The sequence below is a fragment of the Homo sapiens genome, chromosome 9 (assembly GCF_000001405.40).
Source record: "Homo sapiens chromosome 9, GRCh38.p14 Primary Assembly".
NCBI classification, from domain to species: Eukaryota; Metazoa; Chordata; class Mammalia; order Primates; family Hominidae; genus Homo; species Homo sapiens.
The window spans coordinates 121,377,410-121,400,670 of NC_000009.12; the positions used below are offsets into that span (position 1 = coordinate 121,377,410).

At 39.2% G+C, this 23,261-nt stretch overlaps 1 long non-coding RNA gene across 11 annotated transcripts in view, besides 1 other annotated feature; it reads left to right on the forward strand.

Annotated features, from left to right (window-relative positions):
- The window catches only part of LOC102723324 (uncharacterized), a 93,479-nt gene that overhangs the window by 7,517 nt on the left and 62,701 nt on the right, over positions 1 to 23,261 (forward strand). For 5 of the 11 annotated variants that reach the window (NR_187157.1, NR_187151.1, NR_187150.1 and 2 more), the window contains exon 3: positions 522 to 3,900. The exons of 4 other annotated variants lie outside the window; for them this stretch is intronic. This is a non-coding gene — a long non-coding RNA (uncharacterized LOC102723324). Of the gene's footprint in view, positions 1 to 521; positions 3,901 to 12,815; positions 14,477 to 23,261 lie in introns of those variants that run through there. 2 more of the 11 variants (NR_187160.1, NR_187152.1) reach the window with 2 other exon arrangements.
- Positions 8,830 to 9,776: an enhancer, noted in NCBI's record as "OCT4-NANOG hESC enhancer chr9:124148517-124149463 (GRCh37/hg19 assembly coordinates)". NCBI's record gives its function as "activates a minimal SCP1, AML or CMV promoter by ChIP-STARR-seq in primed H9 embryonic stem cells {active_cell/tissue: H9 hESC(primed)}" and the evidence as "EXISTENCE:reporter gene assay evidence [ECO:0000049][PMID:30033119]".

Below are 23,261 nucleotides of genomic sequence, written 5' to 3' on the forward strand. Positions count from 1 at the left end.
AGCCTAAACTTAAAAGATAACTATGAAGCTGCTCAAAGAGCTTAACAATGGGAGTGGAATGAACATATTGGACTTATCAAAATATTATATAATGGACAATCTAAATAGGCTTATATATATTAAATAATTGAATTAATAATGATAATTTCTAGAACAGAAAGCACCAAGTCCAGATGGGCTCATTGGCAAATCCTACCAAATATTTAAGAAAAATATTGTACCAATGCTCTATAATCTTTCAGAAGACAGAAGCAGAGGAAACATTTCCTAACTCATTTTATGAGGCCATAATTACTCTAATATCTAATACCAAAATCAGACAGAGACATTAGAAAAAAAGAAAACTACAGACAAATATGGCTTATGAACATAGATGCAAAAGTCCTCAACAAAATATTAGCAAATCCAATCCAATGATGTATAAAGATAATTATGCATTATGACCAAGTGCAGTTTATTCTAATAATGCAAATCTGGTTCACCATTTGAAAATCAATTAATGTAATCTGTCATATCAACAGGCTAAAGAAGAAAAATCACATGATCATATCAATAGATGCAGAAAAAGCATCTGACAAAAACCAGCTCTCATTCATGATCAGAACTCTCAGCAAACTAGTAATAGAGGGGAACTTACTCAACTTGATAAAGAACATATGCAAAAATCTTTCAGCTAACATCGTACTTAATGGTAAGAAATTGAAGCTTTCCCACTAAGATCAGGAGCAAGGCAAGGACGTCTCCTTTGACCAACCCTTTTCAACATCATATTTATTGGAAGTCCTAGCTAATGCAATAAGACAAGAAAAAGAAGTAAAAAGTATACAGATTGGGAAGAAGAAAATAGAACTGCCTTTGTTTGCAGATGACATGATTATCTATGTAGAAAATCTGAAAGAATTGACCAAAAAAACCCTCCTGGAGCTAATAAGCAATGATAACAAGGTGGCAAAAATAGGTTGATATACAAAAGTTAATTGCTTTCCTATATGCCAGCAACAAACAAATGAGATTTGAAATTAAAACCAAAATCCCATTTACAATAATACCCCCAACTTAAATACTTAGGCATAAAACTAACAAAAATATGTAAGACCTTTATAAGGGAAGTTATAAAACTCTGATGAACATATAAAAAGCTAAATAAAGGAGAGAGATTCCATGTTTATGGATAGGAAGACTCAATATTACCAAGACATCACTTCTTCCCAACTTGATGTATAGATCCAAGGCAGACCAAACCAAAATCCCAGAAAATAATTTCCTGGATATTAACAGAATCTTTTTTTTTTTTTTTTTTTTTCCTGAAACGGAGTCTCACTGTGTTGCCCAGGCTGGAGTGCAGTGGGGCGATCTCGGCTCACTGCAAGCTCCGCCTCCCAGGTTCACACCATTCTCCTGCCTCAGCTTCCCGAGTAGCTGGGACTACAGGCGCCCGCCACCACGCCCGGCTAATTTTTTGTATTTATAGTAGAGATGGGGTTTCACCCTGTTCACCGGGATGGTCTCAATCTCCTGACCTCGTGATCCCCCCGCCTCGGCCTCCCAAAGTGCTGGGATTGCAGGCGTGAGCCACTGTGCCCGGCCTATTAACAGATTCTTAAGTTTATAAGGACAGGCAAAAGACCTAGTATAGCAAACATAATATTGAAGAAGCACAAAGTTGGAGGACTGTCACTACCTGACTTCAAGACTTACTATAAAGCTACAGTAATAAGGACAGTATGGTATTTGCAAAATAATAGAAAAATAGATCAATGGAACAGAATAGAGAGCACAGGTATAGACCCATACAAATACTATCAACTGATTTTTTTTATAAAGGAGCAAAGGGAATACAATGGAGAAAAGATAAGTTTTCAACAAATGGTGCTGAACAAGGGGATGTTCACATGCAAAAAGATGAATCTAGACACAGATCTTAAACTTCACAAAAATCAGCTCAAAATGGATTATAGACTGAAATGTAAAATGCTAAACTATGAAACTCCTAGAAGATAACAGAAGAAAATCTAGATGACCTTGGGTTTGAGGTGAATATTTTAGATCCAACACCAAAGGCATGATCCATGAAAGAAATAATTGATAAGTTGTACTTCATTAAATTAAAAACGTTTAATCTGTGAAAGCACTGTCAAGAGAATGAAATGACAAGCCACAGACTGGGAGAAAACATTTGCAAAATACATTTGATAAAGGACTGGGGTCCAAAGTACTCTAAAAACTCACCAAAGAAGACATACAGATAGCAAATAAGCATATGAAATTGTCGACATTGTATGCCATTAGCAAATTGCAAATTAAAACGAGATACCACTACATACATATTAGAATGGCTCAAATGCAAAACATTAACAACATCAAATGCCAAATGCTGGTGCAGCAAGAACTCTTCATTCATTGCTGGTGGGAATGCATAATGGTAGAGCCGTTACACAGTGCCAATCATAATCCGAAAGACAAAATCCCAAATGCCATAATCTCAAATGCCTATGAAGTGTTCGGTTGTGTTTTTATGTTTCTCAAACAAACCTCCTTTACAAATGTAAGTAAATGTCTTTAAAAAATTGTTTTTTAATTATCTTTCCAGAATTATATTGTGATTTTGGTCTATCAGGATCAGGATTTTTGGGATTTTAGACTTTAGGGATTTTGATCTTTTGGGATTTCAACATTTGATATTACAGCATTTGCAATTGTATCTTTCAGGAGTATGGCCCAAACCCCAGCCATGTAGAAAACAATTTGATAATTTCTTAAAAAACTAAACACCCAGCCACTGTTGAAAATAGTTTGTCAATTTCTTAAAAAAACTAAACACACTTTTGCCATACAATCCAGTAATCATGAGCCTTGGTATTTACTCAGATGAGTTGAAAAGTTATGTCCACATAAAACCTGCATGCAGATGTTTATAGCAGCTTTATTCATAATTGTCAAAAATTGGAGGCAACCAAATTGTCTCTTAGTAGGTGAATGGATGAATAAACTGTAGTACATCCAGACAATGGAATATTTTTCAGTGCTAAAAAGAAATAAGCTATCAGCTGGGTGCAGTGGCTCACGCCTATAATCCCAGCAGTTTGAGAGGCCGAGGTGGATGGATCACTTGTGCCCAAGAGTTCGAGACCACCCTGGCCAACATGGCAAAAACCCATCTCTACAAAAAATACAAAAATTAGCCAAACGTGGTGGCATGTGCCTGTAGTCCCAGCTACTTGGGGGGACTGAGAGAGGAGGATTGCTTGAGCCCGGAAAGGAGAGGCTGTAGTGAGCCATGTTTGTGCCACTGCATTCCAGCCTGGGCACAGAGTGAGACCCTGTCTCAAAAAAAAAAAAAAAAAAAAGGAAAAGAAAAAGAAGCCATCAAGCTGTGAAAAGACATAGAGAAATCTTAAATGCACATTGCTAAGTGAAATGAGCCAATCTGAAAAAGCTATATACTATATGACTTCAACCATATGACATTCTGGAAAAGACAAAACTATGGAGACAGTAGAAAGGTCAATGGTTGTGAGAGATTGGAGGGAGGGAGGAAAAACTGTGAAGAATGTAGGGAATTTTTAGGGCAGTGAAACTATTCTATATGGTACTATAATGGTGAATGAATGTACTTATGTGTTTGTCAAAACCCATAGAATGTACAACACCAAAAGTGAACTCTAATGTAAACCATGGACTTTGGATGATAATAAAATGTCAATATAGGCTAGTTGATTGTAACAAAGGCAAGAGGTGTTAATTGTGGGGAGGCTGTGTGTGTGTGTGTGTGTGTATGTATGTGTATGTATGTGTGTGTGGGAGCAAAAGTCATAAAAGAAAATTCTCTGCACTTTCTGCTCTATTTTGCTGTGAACTTAAAACTGCTCTAAAAAATAAAGTTGATTTTTTTAAAAAGCATGCTATCAGTAAGCCACCCAGACTTCAATCTGTTTCACTCTTGAATGAATTCACATCAGGCATCCTTTTTACATAACTTTAAATTGATTTTTAAGAATGAGACTTAGAATATAAACACTGATGATCCTGCCAGACAAAAAAGCTTCTTGTAAACATATATACCATTAGGAAGCAAAAGAAAGGAGGAAGTTAAACAAATAAAAGATACATAACAAATAGCTTCATATTTAATGAATTGATCCCAGTATGTCATTTGGGACTAGCTGACCATAAAATATCCTCCTACTACCCTTGAAATATTTTTTCTTGGGTCTTCAGCATAATAGCTGTGGAGCTACTGGGTCCAGTTACTGTATTATTGGGTGTTTTATGGGTGCTATTTGTACACTGTATCTTTATTTTAAAAACCTATTTTGGCTGGGTGCAGTGGCTCACGCCTGTAATCCCAGCACTTTGGGAGGCCAATGTGGGTGGATCACTTGAGGTGAGGAGTTGGAGACCAGCCTGGCCAACATGGTGAAACCTCATCTCTACTAAATATACGAAAAATTAGCCAGGCATGGTGGCATGTGCCTGTAATCCCAGCTACTCGAAAGGCTGAGGCAGGAGAATTGCTTGAATCCGGGAGGCAGAGGTTGCAGGTAGCTGAGAGCATGCCACTGCACTCCAGCCTGGGTGACAGAATGAGACTCCAATTCAAAAAAAAACAAACCAAACCAAAACAAAAAAAACCTGTTTTGAGAAGTCAGCAATGGTCAGTTCAATATTGGCCATTAAGTAATGCAAGCATTGTAATGTAAGGTTTGATTATTGTATTTGTGTTACCTATCATTTTACAGTACTAAATTCCCATAAGCCATGACAAGTTACCTTTACAAGTTACATTCATGTTTTACCTTTCTTTATATTGACTATTCTCTGTTTATAGAGAAGAGGTGAATGAGTGAAATATTAGCTACTATAAAATAATGGCTACCATGTCCATAAAATAATAGACTGCCTGGTCTACTAGATGCCAGTAATCATATTAATAGCTTTATATAATTATCTCCTTTAATCTTTGCAAAAAGTCTGCATTATAGTTCTCAGCCCTCTTCTAAATTGAGGGAACTAAGGTTCAAAGAGATCAACTAATTTGGTCAAAGTCACACAGGAAGGCAGTACAGAGTAATAGTTAAATGCACAGTCTTTGTGGCCTAATTCCCTGTGTTAGTATTCTTGTTCCACCATTTCCTAAATCTGTGACCTTAGGCAAGTTATCTAACTCCTTTAATGTCATTTTTCTCATCTGTAAAATGAAAGACTAAGTGAAATAATTCATGTAAAGTGCTCAGCACAGTGGCTGGTACAGAGTGAGTACTTCATAAATGTTAGTGGTTATTAAAAGTAATTGTATATTACACAGTCATTGTATATTCTTTTTATTATTACAAATAGGTGACAACATGGATTTAAACTTAAGTCTCCCTGGCCCTGAAGTTCCCTTCTTTTCCTTTACTCAACTCTCTCTGTGTAAATTTTTAGTCATTGGTGAAGAGAGAACTGATTCTCCTAAATGGCTTTACCTCTGTGAAAAAACAGATTTGCCAGTTTATCAGTCAGGTTAGGCTAGGTTTGCTGCATTAATGAACAACTTTTATATATCCTTAGTTTATCACAAACAAGTTTATTTCTCATTTCCATTTTATGTCCTATGTGGCTTGACTGGGAGACTTCTTTCATTATAGTCACCCAGGAATCTAGGCTGAGGGATGCTCCATTTGCCGTATGTTTTATCATGGCCAAGGCAGAAAAAAAGGGAAATGGTGACTTCTGCACTGGTTCTTAAATATTTCTTTTTAGAAGTGACAAGTGCCACTGCTGCTTATAATTTCATTGGTCAAAGCCAGTAGCATGACCAGGTCTAACTTCAAGGGCTTTAGGAAAGAGAGGAGAATTAGACATAAGTGAGCAGCATTAATAACTACCACAGCGGCCAGGCACGGTGGCTCACGCCTGTAATCCCAGCACTTTGGGAGGCTGAGGCGGGCGGATCACGAGGTCAGGAGATTGATACCATCCTGGCTAACACGGCAAAACGCCATCTCTACTAAAAATACAAAAAAAATTAGGCAGGCGTGGTCGTGGGCCCCTGAAGTCCCAAAAACTCAGGAGGCTGAGGCAGGAGAATGGCGTGAACCCGGGAGGTGGAGCTTGCAGTGGGCAGAGATGGCGCCACTGCACTCCAGTCTGGGCGACAGAGCGAGACTCCGTCTCAAAAATAAAATAAAATAAAATAACTACCACAGCAAATTGAACTTTTTGAGTTTCCTAATTTGATATTTCTCTTTTTGATTTCTAAATTTCTTCTTATGTGTATAGATTCACTTGGTAAAAACCTAAAGATAACTTCATAGAAATAGTTCTCTTTCAGAGAGGTCCATCGGAATTATCTGGATACAGTTTCCAAAATGATGTGCCCAGGCCCCACTCAAGACTTAATGAATTGAAATATATGAGAGTCAGGCTCTGGGCGTGTACATTTTGAAAAACTCCTCGGATGGTGCTGGCTTGCACTCTGTTGTGTTTATGCAATAGTAAACCGATACGTGTTTTCAAGGATCTTGCTGAAGACAGATGGGAGGAAGCAGAGCTGAAAGGATCAGAAAGAGGAAGGGACAAGGTAGAAATTACGACTCAAGTGTGGCAGGGTTCTGAGCTCAGACTTAAGCTGTACTTACCTTAGAAGTTCACATTGGGAGATATATCTGGGCATGCCTAGATGACTGGTGGGTCAGTCATCAGAGTTCCCTTTTTATAAGGTAACATGGATCCTCCTGGGAAAAACTTCATCTTAAATTGAGAGACTTTTTTCCCCAATATTTAATTGAAAAATTTTTAATCATACGGAAGGTTGAAAGAATTTACCCATCATTTAGATTTGATAGGTGCTATCATTTTGCTGTATTTGCTTTATTTGCTAATTTTTATAGCCACTGATGATCATTACCTGAATCAATTATTTCACTGAGGAGTGGGCATTGGCAAATGGTGATTTTTCCGATGTATCATTTCTTCTACAATTATTATCTACATTCTTCTATTAAAAGAGAACTTCCCTTTATCAATTGGAGATGAAGTAAATTTTCCTAAAAAGACATCATAAATGCTTCATTATTTTAATTTGGAAAGAGTTTTCAGGAACCTATGTTTGGTTTAAGGACAGTTGACCTACATTGTAGTGAACAGATGAGCTGAGTATAGCAGAGGCTTGTGCATATTTTTCTACAGCCCAACCCTCAGAATGCTAGAGCAAGGTAGCTGCGGTGAAAAATAGTGTAGAAATTACAGTGGCTATATCACTGAGGACAGAAAGACTTGGCAGCGTGATCAGAGCTCACTGCAAACTCTGCCTTCCGGGTTCAAGCAGTTCTTTGCCTCAGCCTCCCGAGTAGCTGGGATTACAGGCGCCTGCCACCACGCCTAGCTAATTTTTGCATTTTTAGTAGAGACGGAGTTTCACCATCGTGGCCAGGCTGGTCTTGAACTCCTGACCTCATGATCCACCTGCCTTGGCCTCCCAAAGTGCTGGGATTACAGGTGTGAGCCACTGCGCCCAGCCCAACAAGGTCCTGTCTAGGTAAAGGAAACGCATAGGCGAAAGTGATGGATAGAATTTGAAAAGCAGAGAAAAGATGGCAAGTGGCTCAGATTGAAAGAGAAATTCCAAATATACTAGTTAACTAGTTGAGGGAACCAGAGAGTCTCTGGATATTTAATGACAAGCTTAAATAAGCTAATCTCTGATGGAAGTCAGCATTGCATGAATGGTTGAAGGGCCAAAAACATGATATATCCCTTTATATGTTTAAGTGTTTTTTTGTGCTTCTCAATGCCATGTGATGTTTTTTATGGTAAATACTGAGATTTAACAAAATATAAATTAAAAGTTTATTCTTGATACAATTAATAGCTCCTGAAAAGTTAAAATGATCTAGAAATCAGAATTCTTTTAATCTATACTGAATGTAGGGGTTGTGGTTACTAAAAATTAGTCAAACCATATTTGGGAATTAAAGAAATAATGATTGCTGGCCAGGTGTGGTGGCTCACGCCTGTAATCCCAACACTTTGGGAGGCCAAGGCAGGTGGATCACTTGAAGCTAGGAGTTTGAGACCAGCCTGGCCAACCTGGTGAAATATATATATATAAATTTGCTGGGTGTGGTGGTGCATGCCTGCAATCCCAGCTACTTGGGAGGCTGAGGCATGAGAATCACTTGAATGTGGGAGACAGAGGTTACCGTGAGCCTAGATCGCACCACTGCACTCCAGCCTGGGTGACAGAGCGAGACTCTGTCTCAAAAAAAAAAAAAAAGATTGCTTTTTCCCTTTCACTTACCCTTTTTTTTGGAAAGATAAAACAAAGTGACTTTCTTATTATCTCATGTTTCTTGTAAACAGTGATTTCTTGGTAGAGAAATAAAAATTGTTTCTTAATTGGGAGAAAAGAAATTAACAGCTATTGCTGTGGTTGGTTCTATTTTTATTATTTATTGGCTAAATGTACATAGACTGAAAGGAAAATTAAAAGACAAACTATTCACTAAATCCTGGAAAACAGTATATGTTATAATCTGCATTTCATAAAATTAAGGGATAATTTTAAACATATTTCCTCAAACAGTAATATAATTAAGTTATGCTTAGTATTCAACTAAGTGATTAGAATTCAGTTGTAGTGGTACTTATCTTTTTAAAAAATATAAAAGTTACCATGTTTTTACAGAGTGGAAATACAGTAATTAATAAAAGTGTTCCATTGTGTAGGCTATTTTCTTCCCCCCGAGTGAAGCTAATCAGTTAGTTTCATGCTCCATATGCAGTCGTTGGATCATTTTTAAATGATCAATGATCATTCTTAAATGTGTCAATGAAAAGCGCCAAACTTTGTCAAATATTTGAAGAGATTTATTCTGAAACAAATAAGGGTAGCCATGGCCTGAGGCACAGTCTCAAGAGGTCCTAAGAACATGTGCCCAAGGTGGTTAAGTTACAGCTTTATTTTATAGGTTTTATGGAGACATACACCATCAATTATTACATGTGAGATATACATTAGTTTGTTCCGGAAAGGTGGGACAACTCAAGATGGGGAGGGGAAGGAGGGAACTTCCAGGTCATAAGATTTTCTGATTGGCAATTGATTGAAAGAGTTATTATCTAAAGACCTAGAATCAATAGAATGGAATGTCTAGGTTAAAATAAGGGGTTGTGAAGACCAAGGTTTTATCATGCAGATGAAGCCTCCAGGTAGCAGGCTTCAGAGCTCTTATCAGACCTGAAAAGGTGCTACTCTCTTAGTTAATTTTCTCTCCTGGATCAGGAAAAAGACCTGGAAAAGGAATGGGAATTCTCTATAGAATGCAGATTTTCCCCACAAGAGACAGCTTTGCAGGGCCACTTCAAAATATGTCAAAGAAATACATTTTGGGGTAAAATACTTCAATTTCTTTCAGGGTCTGCTATCCATTATGTGATGCTATACTAGAATCAGGCTGGAATTTGGTGTCCTATTGCTACAAAAAGTCTGTTTTGTCAGTCTTAAGATCTCCGTTTTAGTGTTAATGCTGGTCAGCTGTACCTGAATTCCAAAGCAAGGAGGGTATAATGAGGCATGTCTGACCCCCACTTCTCATCATGGCCTGAACTGGTTTTTCAGGTTAATTCTGGAATGCCCTTGGCCGAGGGGAGGGTCCATCAGCTGATTGGGGAGTTTAGAATTTTATTTTTGGTTTATAATACTAATTATAGTAAATGAATATAAAAATTTAAATAAAATATTTAAAGCTGGAATTTCTAATTTGTTTTGAAAATTTAATTAAATACTGGTAAACATCTTATAAAAATAAAACTAATTATGACTCTAGAATTAACACCCAAATGTCAGTATAAAACTGGGACCCCCAAACTCACTATGCTAAAGAGAATAACTTGCTTCATACTTATTACACCTAGACATATACACGCATAGATTCATGAGTAAGTAATATGAGCTGGGCATGGTTGGCTCATACCTCTGATCCCAGCACTTTGAGGGGCCAAGGAGGGAGAATCATTTGAAGCCAGGAGTTCAAGATCAGTTCTGGTGTTACAGGAAAAGGGTCCTGATCCAGAACCCAAGAGAGGGTTCTTGGATCTTGCACAAGAGAGAATTCAGGGCAAGTCCACAGAGTAAAGTGAAAGCAAGTTTTACGAAAGTAAAGGAATAAAAGAATGGCTACTTCCATAGGCAGAGCAAGAGCCTGAGCTGCTAGTTGGCCATTTTTATGGTTAATTCCTGATTATGTGCTAAACAAGGGGTGGATTATTCATGAGTTATCCAGGAAAGGGGGGCAATTCCTGAAACTGAGGGTTCTTCCCCCATTTATTTATTTATTTATTTTTATTTTTATTTTTGAGACAGAGTCTCACTCTGTCAACCAGGCTGGAGTGCAGTGGCACCATCTCAGCTCTCTGCAACCTCTGCCTCCCAGGTTCAAGCAATTCTCCTGCCTCAGCCTCCCGAGTAGCTGGGACTATAGGTGTGTGCAATCATGCCCGGCTAATTTTTGTATTTTTAGTAGAGACGGGGTTTCACCATATTGGCTAGGCTAGTCTTGAACTCCTGACTTCGTGATCTGCCCACCTCAGCCTCCCAAAGTGCTGGGATTACAGGTGTGAGCCACTGTGCCCGGCCAGTCCCCTTTTGGACCATATAGGGTAACTTCCTGATGTTGCCATGGCTTTTGTAAACTGTCATGGTGCTGGTGGGAGGGTCTCTTAGCATGCTAATGCATTTAATTAGTGTATAATGAGCATTGAGGATGATCAGAGGTCACTCTTGTTGCCATCTTGGTTTTGGTGGGTTTGGCCAGCTTCTGTACCACAACCTACTTTATTGGCAAGGTCTTTATGACCTATATCTTGTGCCGACCTCCTGTCTGAACCTGTGACTAAGAATGCCTTAACCTCCTGGGAATGCAGCCCAGTACCTCTCAGCCTTATTTTACCCAGCCCCTATTAAAGATGGAGTCACTCTGGCTTAAATGCCTCTGACACTGGCAACGTAGTGCGATGCAGACTTAAAAAAAAAGGTATTAGCCAGGCATGGTGGCTCATTCCTATAGTTCCAGCTAGTCAGGAGGCTGAGGTGGGAAAAGCTCTTCAGCCCAGGAATTTGAATTTGCAGTGAGATATGATTATTGCCGCTACATTCCAGCCTGGATGACAGAGCAAGACCTTGTCTCTAAAAAAAATTAAAAAAAACATTTTTTAAGTGTAATATGAATTGTTTAATATTACAGACTGTTTCTCAGCTACCATGAATAACAGTGCTGAATAGTATAGCAATCAGTGATTATCACTGGATATTCCAAGTGAAACCTGAAGAGAAGCCAAAAAAAAAAAAAAAGGGACATTTGACACTCTGAGACATTGGTAAAGTATCTATTTCATTCATGCTCTCAGAGAGGAAGGATTTGTCAAACTATTTGTATTTTCTCTTACTAAAGTGTTTCTACTTTTGTCCAAATTTTCTCTGTTGTCCAAAGCACAGTCTTGGACAGCAGAGGCACAACTCACACACCTACATAGAATGCCAGGGTAGTCACCTTTTTTCTTTTTCTTTTTTTTTTTTTTTTTGAGACGCTCTGTTGCCCAGGCTGGAGTGCAGTGGTGTGATCTTGGCTCACTGCAACCTCTGCCTTCCGGGTTCAAGTGATTCTCGCGCCTCAGCCTCCTGAGTAGCTGGGATTACAGGCGTGTGCCCCCACACCTGGCTAATTTTTGTATTTTTAGTAGAGGCGGGGTTTCACCATGTTGGCCAGGCTGGTCTCAAACTCCTGACCTCAAGAGATCCAACTGCCTTGGCCTCTCAAAGTACTGGGATTACAGATGTGAGCCACTGTGCCCAGCCAGTCACCTTTTATTTTGAGCAAGAGCTGTGGAGAAACATTTACTTGGAGCCTAAATGAAGTTAGTGTCACAAAAGGGAATGTTTAAGGTTATAGATTGCACTGTGGCAGCTCTGAGTGCTGGATGGTGAGTGACATACACCAGTGTGTTTTTTCATAAGTTGATAGCCCTCTCTTGATGATACATAGGGCCCTGTAATGTATGGGGCCTAGGCGCCCAGTTCTAAGATTGGCATTGAGTCTTAGCATTAAGTATGCACATGTTCAGATCATGCTCCTATTTTCCAGTAGAGTAATTATTCCCACAGCTGTTTCTTTTACTTTTTCTTTTTCCTTTTTATTGAGACAGGATCTCATTCTATCACCCGGGCTGGAGTGTGGTGGTGTCATCAAGGCTCACCGCACCCTCAACCTCCTGGGCTCAGGTGACTCTTCTGCCTCAGCCTCCTGAGTAACTGGGACCACCACTGCATGCTATACCTGGCTAATTTCTTTTTAAATTATTTGTAGAGACAGGGTTTCATTATGTTGCTCAGGCTGGTATCAAACTCCTGGGCTCAAGCAAGCCTCTCACCTCGGACTCCCAACGTGCTAAGATTACAGGTTTGAGCCACTGTGTCCAGCCACACGGCTGTTTCTATCATTCTGTATTCCAGAGATCACCAGTTCTAGTCTTCTGCAGGGGTAGTTGCTCAATGTCATGAGTAAGAGAGGGGAACTACAGATCTACCTCCTTTTAAGTTTTGTATTAATTTTTTTTTTAATTTTGAAATAATTTTAGATTTATAAAAGAGCTGCAAAGATGGTACAGAGAGTTCCTGTGTACTCTTCATCAAGCTTCACCTGTTGTTAACATCTTTCATAATCATGGTGCATTTATTGAAACTAAGAAATTAACATGAGTATGATGCTATGAACTAAACCATAGACTTTATTAGGATCTCACCAGTTTTTCTGCTGATGTCTTTTTTTCTGTTTCAGGATATCACATTGTATTTGGTCATCATGACTCCTTAGTCTCCAATCTGTGCCAGTTTTTTTGGTCTTGTCTTTCATGGCCTTGGGGATTTTTGAAGAATAATGGCCAGGTATTTTGTAGGATGCCCCTTAACTTAGATTTGTCTGATATTGGGATTTATCATGATTAGATTGGGAATATGGGTTTGGGGGAAGAATACTGCAGAGGTGAACTGCCCTTTCCATTGCATCATATGAGGGGTGCATGATATCCACGTGACTATGAGTGCTGATGTTAACCTTGATCACTTGGTTAAGGTGGTGTCTGAAAGGTTTCCTAGTTACTCTTTTTCCATACTTTATTCTTTAGAAGCAAGACACTAAGTACAGCCCAAAATCAAGGAGTGGAGAATTTATTTTAAAACTGCATTCTACCAATCCTTATTTGATACTCCCCCACCCCACTTCCAAAAGTCCACTTGGTTCCTGAGCCTTTAGAAGATTCTGTGGTATACATCAGCTTAGTTTTTGGCTTTTCCTACTGTATCCTAAGTCATTTTTCTGTTTTCCAGTCTCCACAATTTTGTTGCTATTGTCTCTTTTTTCTCTCTGTGAGTTTGTGAGTTTTTTTTTTTAATCCCTTTACTGTAGCTTAGTGGGGCTTCGGAGAGATTAAAACTGTATTTTTATGTTCAATCTGCCTTCTTTATTTGGAAGCTCTGGGAGAAATATTTTTTTTTTTGAGACGGAGTCTCATTCTGTCACCCAGGCTGGTGTGCAGTGGCGTGATCTCAGCTCACTGCAAACTCCACCTCCCAGGTTCAAGCAATTCTCCTGTCTCAGCCTCCCGAGTAGCTGGGACTACAGGCACATGCCACCATACCCGGGTAATTTTTGTATTTTTAGTAGAGACGGGGCTTCACCATATTGGTTAGGCTGGTCCCGAACTCTTGACCTCAGGTGATCCAACCCACCTCAGCCTCCCAAAGTGCTGGCATTACAGGCATGAGCCACCGCGCCCGGCCAGAGAAACATTTTATCATCATCAAAATTGATATTTAATCTGTGTTTAGATTTGTCATTTCTGCTTGTCATAATTCTGCCATTGATATAATACATGAAATTACTGAATACTTTTTGGGCACCATTGTTATGTTTTGTAAAGCATTGTGATCAATCAGAAATTCAGTTCCCAGCTAGAGAAGAAACTCTTCTAGTATTGGCTGGTGTGACTGGCCCTGATTTTCAAAGGTAAATTAGGGTTACTGCTATAAAGCAGGGATTACAATGGGGTGCTTCTGTATACTCCAATGCCCAGTTACTAAGGTTACCAAAAAACAAAGTGGGTTTGGGCACCTCAGGAGTCAAAGTTTGAGTCAGTCCACCAGGCAAAGAACCTTAACTGGCATAAGCTAGCCAAAGGCAACCTAAACTTGAATGGGTAGAGGAGGGGAGTTACAATATCCACTATGGTTTCTTGACCAGTTACATAAAGGAGGACTGTAGCTCTCTGTGTATCTGCTCTCTCTCCTTTCTTTTTCACCTTTTGTTTTCCTACAATTTTATAGAGTGTTTTGATATCAGAAATGTTTACCATTTAGTGACTGAGTTGCACTTTTTTATTTTTTATGCGTTTTTATAATTTTTATTACTTTTTCAATAAAGATAATGTATCTGTTACTACATCTGTGTAATACATCTGTATGGCTTATAAATACCATTCTATACTGTACTCAGAACAGCAGATACTGTTCTGTACTCTGCTTTCCTCGCTGCATGATATATATTAGTGCATAGGAAGAGTCCTTTTTTTCAGCTCTGTAGATGTACCAATATTTATTTAACCAATGCCCTATAGAAAATGTCTTGGGTTTGTTTCTCATTTTTGGCTTTACAAACAATACTGCAGTGAATAACTTCATATGAACCTCATTGTATAGGTTTGTAGGTATATTTGCGTAAACATTCTCAGAAGTAGTAGAGTTGTAGAGTATCAGTTTAGTATTATAATATATCTAGAGTGGGATTATCTATCATCTGTTTTAATATGGACAATCAGGAAAATAGCAATCATTTCTAGTACTTACAACAGGGAAAATTTAATGCAGGAAAGTGGTTACCAGGTGTTGGAGGAACTGAGCACCTAATGGAGAAAGGGGAGCAATTCAGATATTAGTAACAACAGAAAACCATTGCCTGTAGCCTGGAAAGACAAAAGAAGACAAGAATCACTGAATTCTGGAGCTGGAGGTCATTTACTGGAGGCTAGGGCCTCTACGGACCTGTGTGATGAGAACTGGAGCTGCTGAGGAGATGCAGTCACTGCCAGAGAAGTGACTGAGTTAGAAGAGGAAGGGGGAGAAATGTGCTGGTTTATTCCTTCCCTCCTCATCCTCCAATCTTTGAGAAACCAGCTGATATGAGTCTGGGAATCGCAGTCAATGGATCAACCCCTTGCGATACAAAACAGAGCAGGGAAGGGCAAGGAATGCATTTGAGGACAAATGGATTCAGAATCCATATTGTTCACCCCTTCTGCTACTCAGCATTCAAGTTCACCCTTCTACCCATGTTTAATACCATCATACTTCTGTCTGTCATACAAACAAGAGGAGAGACACCAAGTCCCATCAATCATTGTATCCATCTCAAGTTTGGGATCTACTGGTGATCCTCATTCCTTCCCATCAGGTCTGGATGTGTCTTTTTGTGGCCTGGTGACCTACGAACTAAATTGTAAATTAAGCAACCACTGACACTTTCCATGCAAAACTGTGGGGGAAGGGGAAGGGGAAGGGGACAAAATAGAAATCGTTGGTTAATAGATACATAACAAATACACGTGAATGCTACAATTCTTGTTGCTATAAAAAGTCGCAAGGATGAAGTTGATTTTTATCATTTCCTTTTTCTACCACTTATTCCATATTTCCTTTGCTTTTAGCTAGGACTGCAAATGGTTTGGGTTCTTTACTTGCAGGATGATTGTATCAGTCAGGATAAAGCCAGAACAACAGAAACCACACTTGGTATTTCAACAGAGATAATTTAACATAAGGAATTGGCTACGGAGTTTTGGGGAACCAAAAAAGCAAAAAAAAAAAAAAAAAAAACCAAAAAAACAGGTCGGGGCAGATATTGAACATAGATATAGTAACTATAGGAAGAAGCTACCACTCCTATGGCTGAGGACACAAAAGGAAGTTTGCACCAAAGGAAACTTAAAGGAGAGGCATCTCAGACTTCTGAGGAGGGGCCACTGCCTAACTCTTGCTGGCTCATTGATGAGACATGTTGAGGCTGGTTCTAGGAATGCCAAAAAAAAGTTGAGTGTTAGAAATGATAGCCACTTGTCAGGAAGGAAGCATATCCTGTCTCACTCCTTCTGCCTTGAAGAACTAACAGGAAGCCAACTGGCAAAGTAGAAATATAGCTCTCATAGTCCCAGCCCCGTGGTCATAAAGAAGAGTATAAATGTGTGAGTTTGGACTGAGAGAAAATGGCATAACAACTGGGACAGCTCATTACTTTGCTTACTCAATATTCATGCACAACTTTCTCTGTATATTTGAGCTTCTCATATAGCAATTTAAAAATGGCAGCTTTTTCTTTAACAAGATACAGCTACCCTTTGTAGAAATTGACACTCTTGGCCGGGCACAGAGACTCACGCCTGTAATCCCAGAACTTTGGGAGGCCGAGGCAGGTGGATCGCTTGAGCCCAGAAGTTCAAGACCAGTCTGGGCAACATGATGAAACCCCATCTCTACTAAAAATAAAAAAAATAGCTGAGCATGGTGGCACATGCCTGTAATCCCAGCTACTCAGGAGGCTGTGGCACGAGAATAGCTTGAACCTGGGGGGTGGAGGTTGCAGTGAGTGGAGATTGTGCCATTGCACTCCAGCCTGGGTGACAGAACAAGACTCGGTCTCAAAAAAGTAAATAAACATAAAAAAATAAATTGACACTCTCACCCTTTCCCCATAAACGGATGATCCCAAATTATATTAATCTCTGGATTATGTGTTAATTACTCCTCAATTCAGTAAAGTCCCTTATGAACCTTCTGTAACCTAAAGATGAAATTGTAAAGTTAACAATTGCCATTAATTTTTAAAATTACAGTGGGAAAGGAGAAGAAAAAAAGTTAATATATACAGAAATACATAAATACACACATATACATTAAGCAAGTAAGAAATAATGCTTAGTTATTAGTCTTTGTATCTGTCTAGTCATGAGCCTGTGGTTAGTGTCCCTTCCTCCCCAGCTCATTTCATGCTTCCTGTACTCTGAGCCAGTATATACCAAGTGGTGTGATCCAAACTGTCATTCCTGAAGGGTCTGAATTGTCAGTGGTCCTGTCTTTTCTTGGTTATCGTAGTTTACCATTAACTTTTACTGTCAGCGATGGGAATATAGGGGTGCCATGTTGCCATGAATGACAGCATCCCCATATATAGTCCTTCGTGGCCTCATTTTGTAGCAGCAACCCAATGTTTCTTTAGTTGTCAGGATCAATCACTCCAGCCAGTAATTCCCTTCTTTGCCCATTGGTTCAGTTGCATGTGGAGTCTAAAATGGCCATTTAGCTGTTAGAAATTCAATGGAAACTGTCTTGGGAATAAAGCAGAGTTCAAATTACGGGAAGCAGAATTCTGTGAAGAAGTATAACAGTGAGAGAAGCCACTTTCCCTTTTGCTCTTTGATTACGGACTTGTGTCTTGTGGCTTTGGGAGAAATAGTGCCATACATTGGTCAATGGCTCAAAGCATATGTTGTTCTTTGAAGACAGTCCCAGCCTTACAAAATGTTTCTCAGCTCATGTTGTAACTGAGTCTGTAGTAGGCCATTCCATTGTTATATCGGGCCAGATATTTCTAGATGGTGGGGTGTGCAGTAAGGCTAGTTATTTCCATGATTTGCAAACTCTAATTACACTTCTAAGATGTGTTCCTTAGAAGCTGTGTTGAGTAGGATACCATGATATTGAGTAAGGAATTATGTGGTAGTGTTGGCAGAAACACAATGGGCAGAAGAGGCAAATCTATACACAGAATAGTTGTCTATTCTAGCACAAACAAATGGCTTTCATTTCCATGATGGAAGGGGTGCTTTATAATCAACCTACCAACACAGAGTTGGCTGATCCCCTTGGGAAATGGTGCCATATTGGAGACTCACAGTTTAGATTCTGTTCTTGATAATTTGGGAACTCAACAGTGCCAACAGTCAGATTAGCTTGGTAAGGGGAAGTCCATTTTGTTGGGTCTGTGCTTCATTTCTGCCACTATGGCCATTTTGTACACAAGCCCATTAAAACAGAAGATGAGGAAAGGTGCTGACTGATAATCCCAGAACAAGTCACTTTGTTCACCCCTATTATTGAGGCCTCCTCTACAATGGATGTACCTTGGTAAGCACTCACACAAATTCCTTCACATTTAGTGCCCATTCTGAAAGATCTGTGCATGTGTCTCTTCTTCAGTCTTCCTTGTTATCAATCTTCCAGGCTTGTTCTTTTCAATTTCCTGACCAGGTGACCAAAGCATTATTCACTGTCCACAGATGAGTGTACATCTGTACCACAGGCCACCCCTCTTTCCTGGCTGAGGGGACTTCAAGGTATACTGCCAAAACTTCTGCCCTCTTGGAGGGTTTTCCTTCACCATTCCCCTTCAGTGGCATCTCTGAGGGAGTATACTGGTACTAGTGTAATGTGGACACACTTCTGTGAACCAGGCCCAAGTTGGTTTAAAAAATTTTTTAAATTTTTTATTTAAAAGATTTTAAATTGACACATAATAATTGTACGTATTTATGAGGTACATAGTTATGTTGTGATACATACAATGTATAGTGATCAGATCAGGGTAATTAGCATATCCATCACCTCAAACATTTATCATTTCTTTGTGTTGGGAACATTCAATATTCTTTTTCTAGCTATTTGAAACTATAAGATATTGTTAATTATAGTCATCCTATGGTGGCATAGAACACTATAACTTATTTCTCCTATCTATTTGTTTCCTTTAACAAAGCTCTATCTCCCTCTTCCCCCTACTCTTCTCAGCCTTTAGTATCCTTTGTTCTACTTTTTACTTCTATGAGATCAACTTTTTTTAGCTTCCACATGTGAGTGAGAACATGCAGTGTTTGACATTCTGTTCCTGGCTTATTTTGCTTAACGTAATGTCCTCCATTTCCATCCATGTTGCCCCGAATTACAGGATTTTATTCTTTATTATGGCTGAATAGTACTCCATTGTGTGTGTGTGCATATATATATATATATATACACATATATGTATATATATGTGTATATATATATGTATATATGTATATATATATGTGTATATATATATGTATATATATATATCATTGTGTGTGTATATAAATATATATATGTTTACCACATTTTTCTTATTCATCCATCTGTTGTTGCACACATAGGTTGATTCCTTATCTTGGCTCTCGTGAATAGTGCTGCAGTAAACATGGGCATGCAGGTTTCTTTTCAATATGTTGATTTCCTTTCCTTTGGATAAATACCCAGTAGAGGAATTTCAGTATCATACTGTGGCTCTATTTGTAGTTTTTTGAGGAACCTCCATACTGTTCTCCCTACTGGCTGTACTAGTTTATATTCCCACCAAGTGTATGAGAGTTCCCTTCTCTCTGCATCCTTGCCAGCACTTTTTTTTTTTTTTTTGTATTTTTGATAATAGCCAGCCTGACTTGGATGAGATGTTATATCATTGTGGTTGTGATTTACATTTCCCTGATAATTAGTGATATTGAGCATTTTTTCATATACCTTTTGGTCATTTGCATTTGAAAAATGTCTGTTCAGATCACTTGCCCATTTTTAATCATATTGTTTGTTTGCTGTTGAGATATTTGCGTTCTTGTGTATTCTGGATATCAATCCCTGGTCAGATGAGTAGTTTGCAGATATTTTCTCCCATTCTGTAAGTTGTCTTTTCACTGTGTTGATTGTTTTCTTTGCTGTGCAGAAGCTTTTTAGTTTGATATAATCCCATTTATTTTTGCATTTGTTGCCTGTGCTTTTGAGGTCTTATTCATAAAGTCTTTTCCCAGAGCAATGTCCTGAAGCATTTCCCCTAAAATCTTTCTTCTAGTACTTTTATAGTTTTGGGTTTTATATTTAGGTCTTTGATCCCTTTTTAGTTGATTTTTGTGTATGGTGAGAGATAGGGGTCTAGTTTCATTCTTCTGCGTATAGATATTCAGTTTTCCCAGCACTATTTATTTATTTATTTATTTATTTATTTATTTATTTATTTGAGACAGGGTCTTGCTTTATCACCCAGACTGGAATGCAATGGTGCAATCATGGCTTACTGCAGCCTCAACTTCCCAGGCTCAAGTGATCCTCCCACCTCAGCCTCCCAAGTCACTGGGACTATTGGTGCATGCCACTGCACCTGGCTGTTTTAAAAAAATATATTTTGTGTGTTTGTAGAGAGGGGTCTCCCTTTGTTGCCCAGGCTGGTCTTGAACTTCTGGGCTCAAGCAATCTTCCCTGCTCATCCTCCCAAAGTGTTGTGATTACAGGCATGAGCCATCGTGCCTGGCCCAGCACTGTTTATTGAAGAGATTGTCCTTTCCCCAATGTATGTTCTTGGTCCCTTTGCCAAAAATCAGTTGGCTGTAGATACATAGATTAATTTCTGGGTTCTCTATTCTGTCTCATTGGTCTATGTGTCTGTTTTTATGTCAGTGCCATGCTGTTTTGATTACTATGGCTTTGTGGTATATTTTGAAGTCAGGTAGTATGATGCCTCCAGCTTTGTTTTCTGGCTTGGGTTTGCCTTGGCTATTCAAGATCTTTCGTGGTCCTGTATAAATTTTAGGATTTTTTTGTTTTTATGAAGAATGTCATTGGTATTTTGACAGGGATAAGGCCCAAGTGTATTTTCCCCCTCTTTCAACAGGCCATAAGGAGCTCCCCATGAAACCACAAGTGCTGGTTGAGGGAGAGGCCAAAAGGCATCAGAAGTAAGTGCTGTGGGGGTCTGGGCCACCTGCTCGTGTAACTTGCTTGTGCTCTGAGCTTGCTTGAGTCTGATCTTGTACATACTATGTCTATTTGATAATGGATTGCTGCTGCACATTATTATAGCTAGGTCTTGTTCATAATGGGCAAGTTATGTCATGTAATTGTTAGGTCATGTAATAGGAATTCCATGGTTAAACAGTTTTTACCAGGGCGTAATAGTGAGCTATGAGCTGCTTCTTTAAGGGGGCAGAGGAGTGTATGGTTCTGTTAGCTAGCTATGTGTTGTGTCATTTTCCTGTTGAGGCTTGCGTGAGGAGCCATGCAGCACTCTTACCACAGACACTTGGAGCACCACTGGATAGACAGACTGGAATGACACTGCCTCGACCCACTGTAGAGCCTTCTCTTGCTTCAGGCACCATTCAGAAGTAGCAGCCTTACAAGTTACTTGGTGTAACCGGATCAGAGCAGAGCATCCACTTGTGGTTTGTGTTGCCTACAAAATCTAAAGAGGCCGAGGACTGGCACAATAATCCTGAACTTGGAAAACAAAGACTGCATAACATTACCTATTGATATAGCGGCCAGATGTGACTTTGGTTGTTTTCCCTTCATATGTGGTTGTATACAAAATAGTACATTTTGTTAAGTAGGAACTTTTTTGGACTTGTATTATGGTAAGAAACATGTATGTGTGTCCTCCTGTAGGCTGTCTGAATATTTCTTTCTGGTCTACATAGCATCTCTTGGTCTGGGCAAACTTCCCTTCCCAATTTAGGTGGTTCTGATGAGTAAAGGTAAATTACCAGATAGCAAAGCAAGAGGGCATTCTAGAAAATAAGATCAGTGGAAGCAAAGGCCTATGGGCATTGTGGGTTCTGGAAGCAGTAATTAGTTCAGTTGAGTAGTAAGTAGCACTAGGGGTGAAGAGTATGAAGAGTGGAGTGGTGGGAGATAAAACGGGAAATGTTAGGTAGGGCTATACTGGAAGGAGCTTTATGTACCATATGAAGAAAGTGGACAAAATCCTATGCTGAGGGAAAAGTAGTGATTTTTTTTTTACAGGACTGTGATGTGATCACATCACATTGATATGAAAGATATTCCATGAGGGAGAATTTGAGATGAGCAATACTAGGGGTAGAGCTATTATTTAAGATTACCTAGTAATTCTGAATAAAATGATGAGACATGAGCTAAGTAAGGTAGTGTGAATTAGAGGAGAAAATGAATTTAAATGATACATAGGAAGTGGAATTGACAGACTTGGTGGCTGACTATGTGGAGTGGGAAGAGAGAACAGGAATTTATGTATGTGGTTAAAAATTATATACTTGTATGAAACAATCTGGTTTGAGCTTGAGTGGGGTTCAGAGAGATCTGGGCCTAGTGTAGAGTGACCAGCTGTTCTGGTTTATCCAAGATTAAGGGATTTCGATTTCCTGGGATGTGAGACTTCCAATGCTAAAACTGTGAAAGTCCCCAGCAAACCAGGACAAATTGGTCATGCTAGCCTAATATGAATGGGCGGACAGATTAGTGACAGGAGCTTATCGGCATAAGCACTGAAACACCTTCTGGGATAACCATGACCTGGCAAGAGAGCCTTTAGTGGTGCAAAGAAATGGTGATCCTTGATAATGCATGGTAGTTGCTATTCAAATCTACCTCCCAATGGATCCAATCTGGGGTCCCACGGAGAAAGGAGGCTGGAAGTAAAATACGAAAGAACTGTTTCACTAATCTGTGACCCCGTTTAACAGAGTGTAACTCAGAGAGGACAGATTCTTTCTCACCGTGGACTACCCCACAGCTCTGGAAACCTGAGGGCTTTAGTACATTGGGAGATTCAGTTAAATACAGGTTGGGGGAGTTCCAAGGGATGGAGAGGGTGGGGAAAGGGAGAAGGAGGAACTGGTAACCTGTACTGGTACAAGAAAAACTAAAATACTTAGCAGAACAGAATAACATCTGTGCAGTGGGGTATAAGTCAGTGAAATATGAGTTATTACAGCACAGGTGACATCAGCAGGCTTTTCTTGAAGCAATTCCTTTCAGAAGGAAAGAATGTGTTGATTACTTTCTTTGTTATGTTGCGCCATCTACTGGTAACTCTCATGTACTTTTTTCCTAGTTAGATGTTTAAAAGAAGACAGATGAATTAAAAACTTGAGAACTGTTTCCAAAGTCGTCATTTATTCGTTCGTTCGTTCATTCATTCATTCATTCATTCACTTCACAAATACTGAGTGAGTATGTATACCTTCTATATTGCAGTTACATTTCTAGGCATTGGGGTTACAGCTGTGAACAAAACTGAAAGAACCCTGAACTCATGGAAGCTTACTTTGATGAAAGAGTACATTTCATTTTTTTCCCATGTGAATGTTCTGTTTTCAAAGCACCATTTACTGAAAAGATTATTTTTTTTTCTTTAGGACTC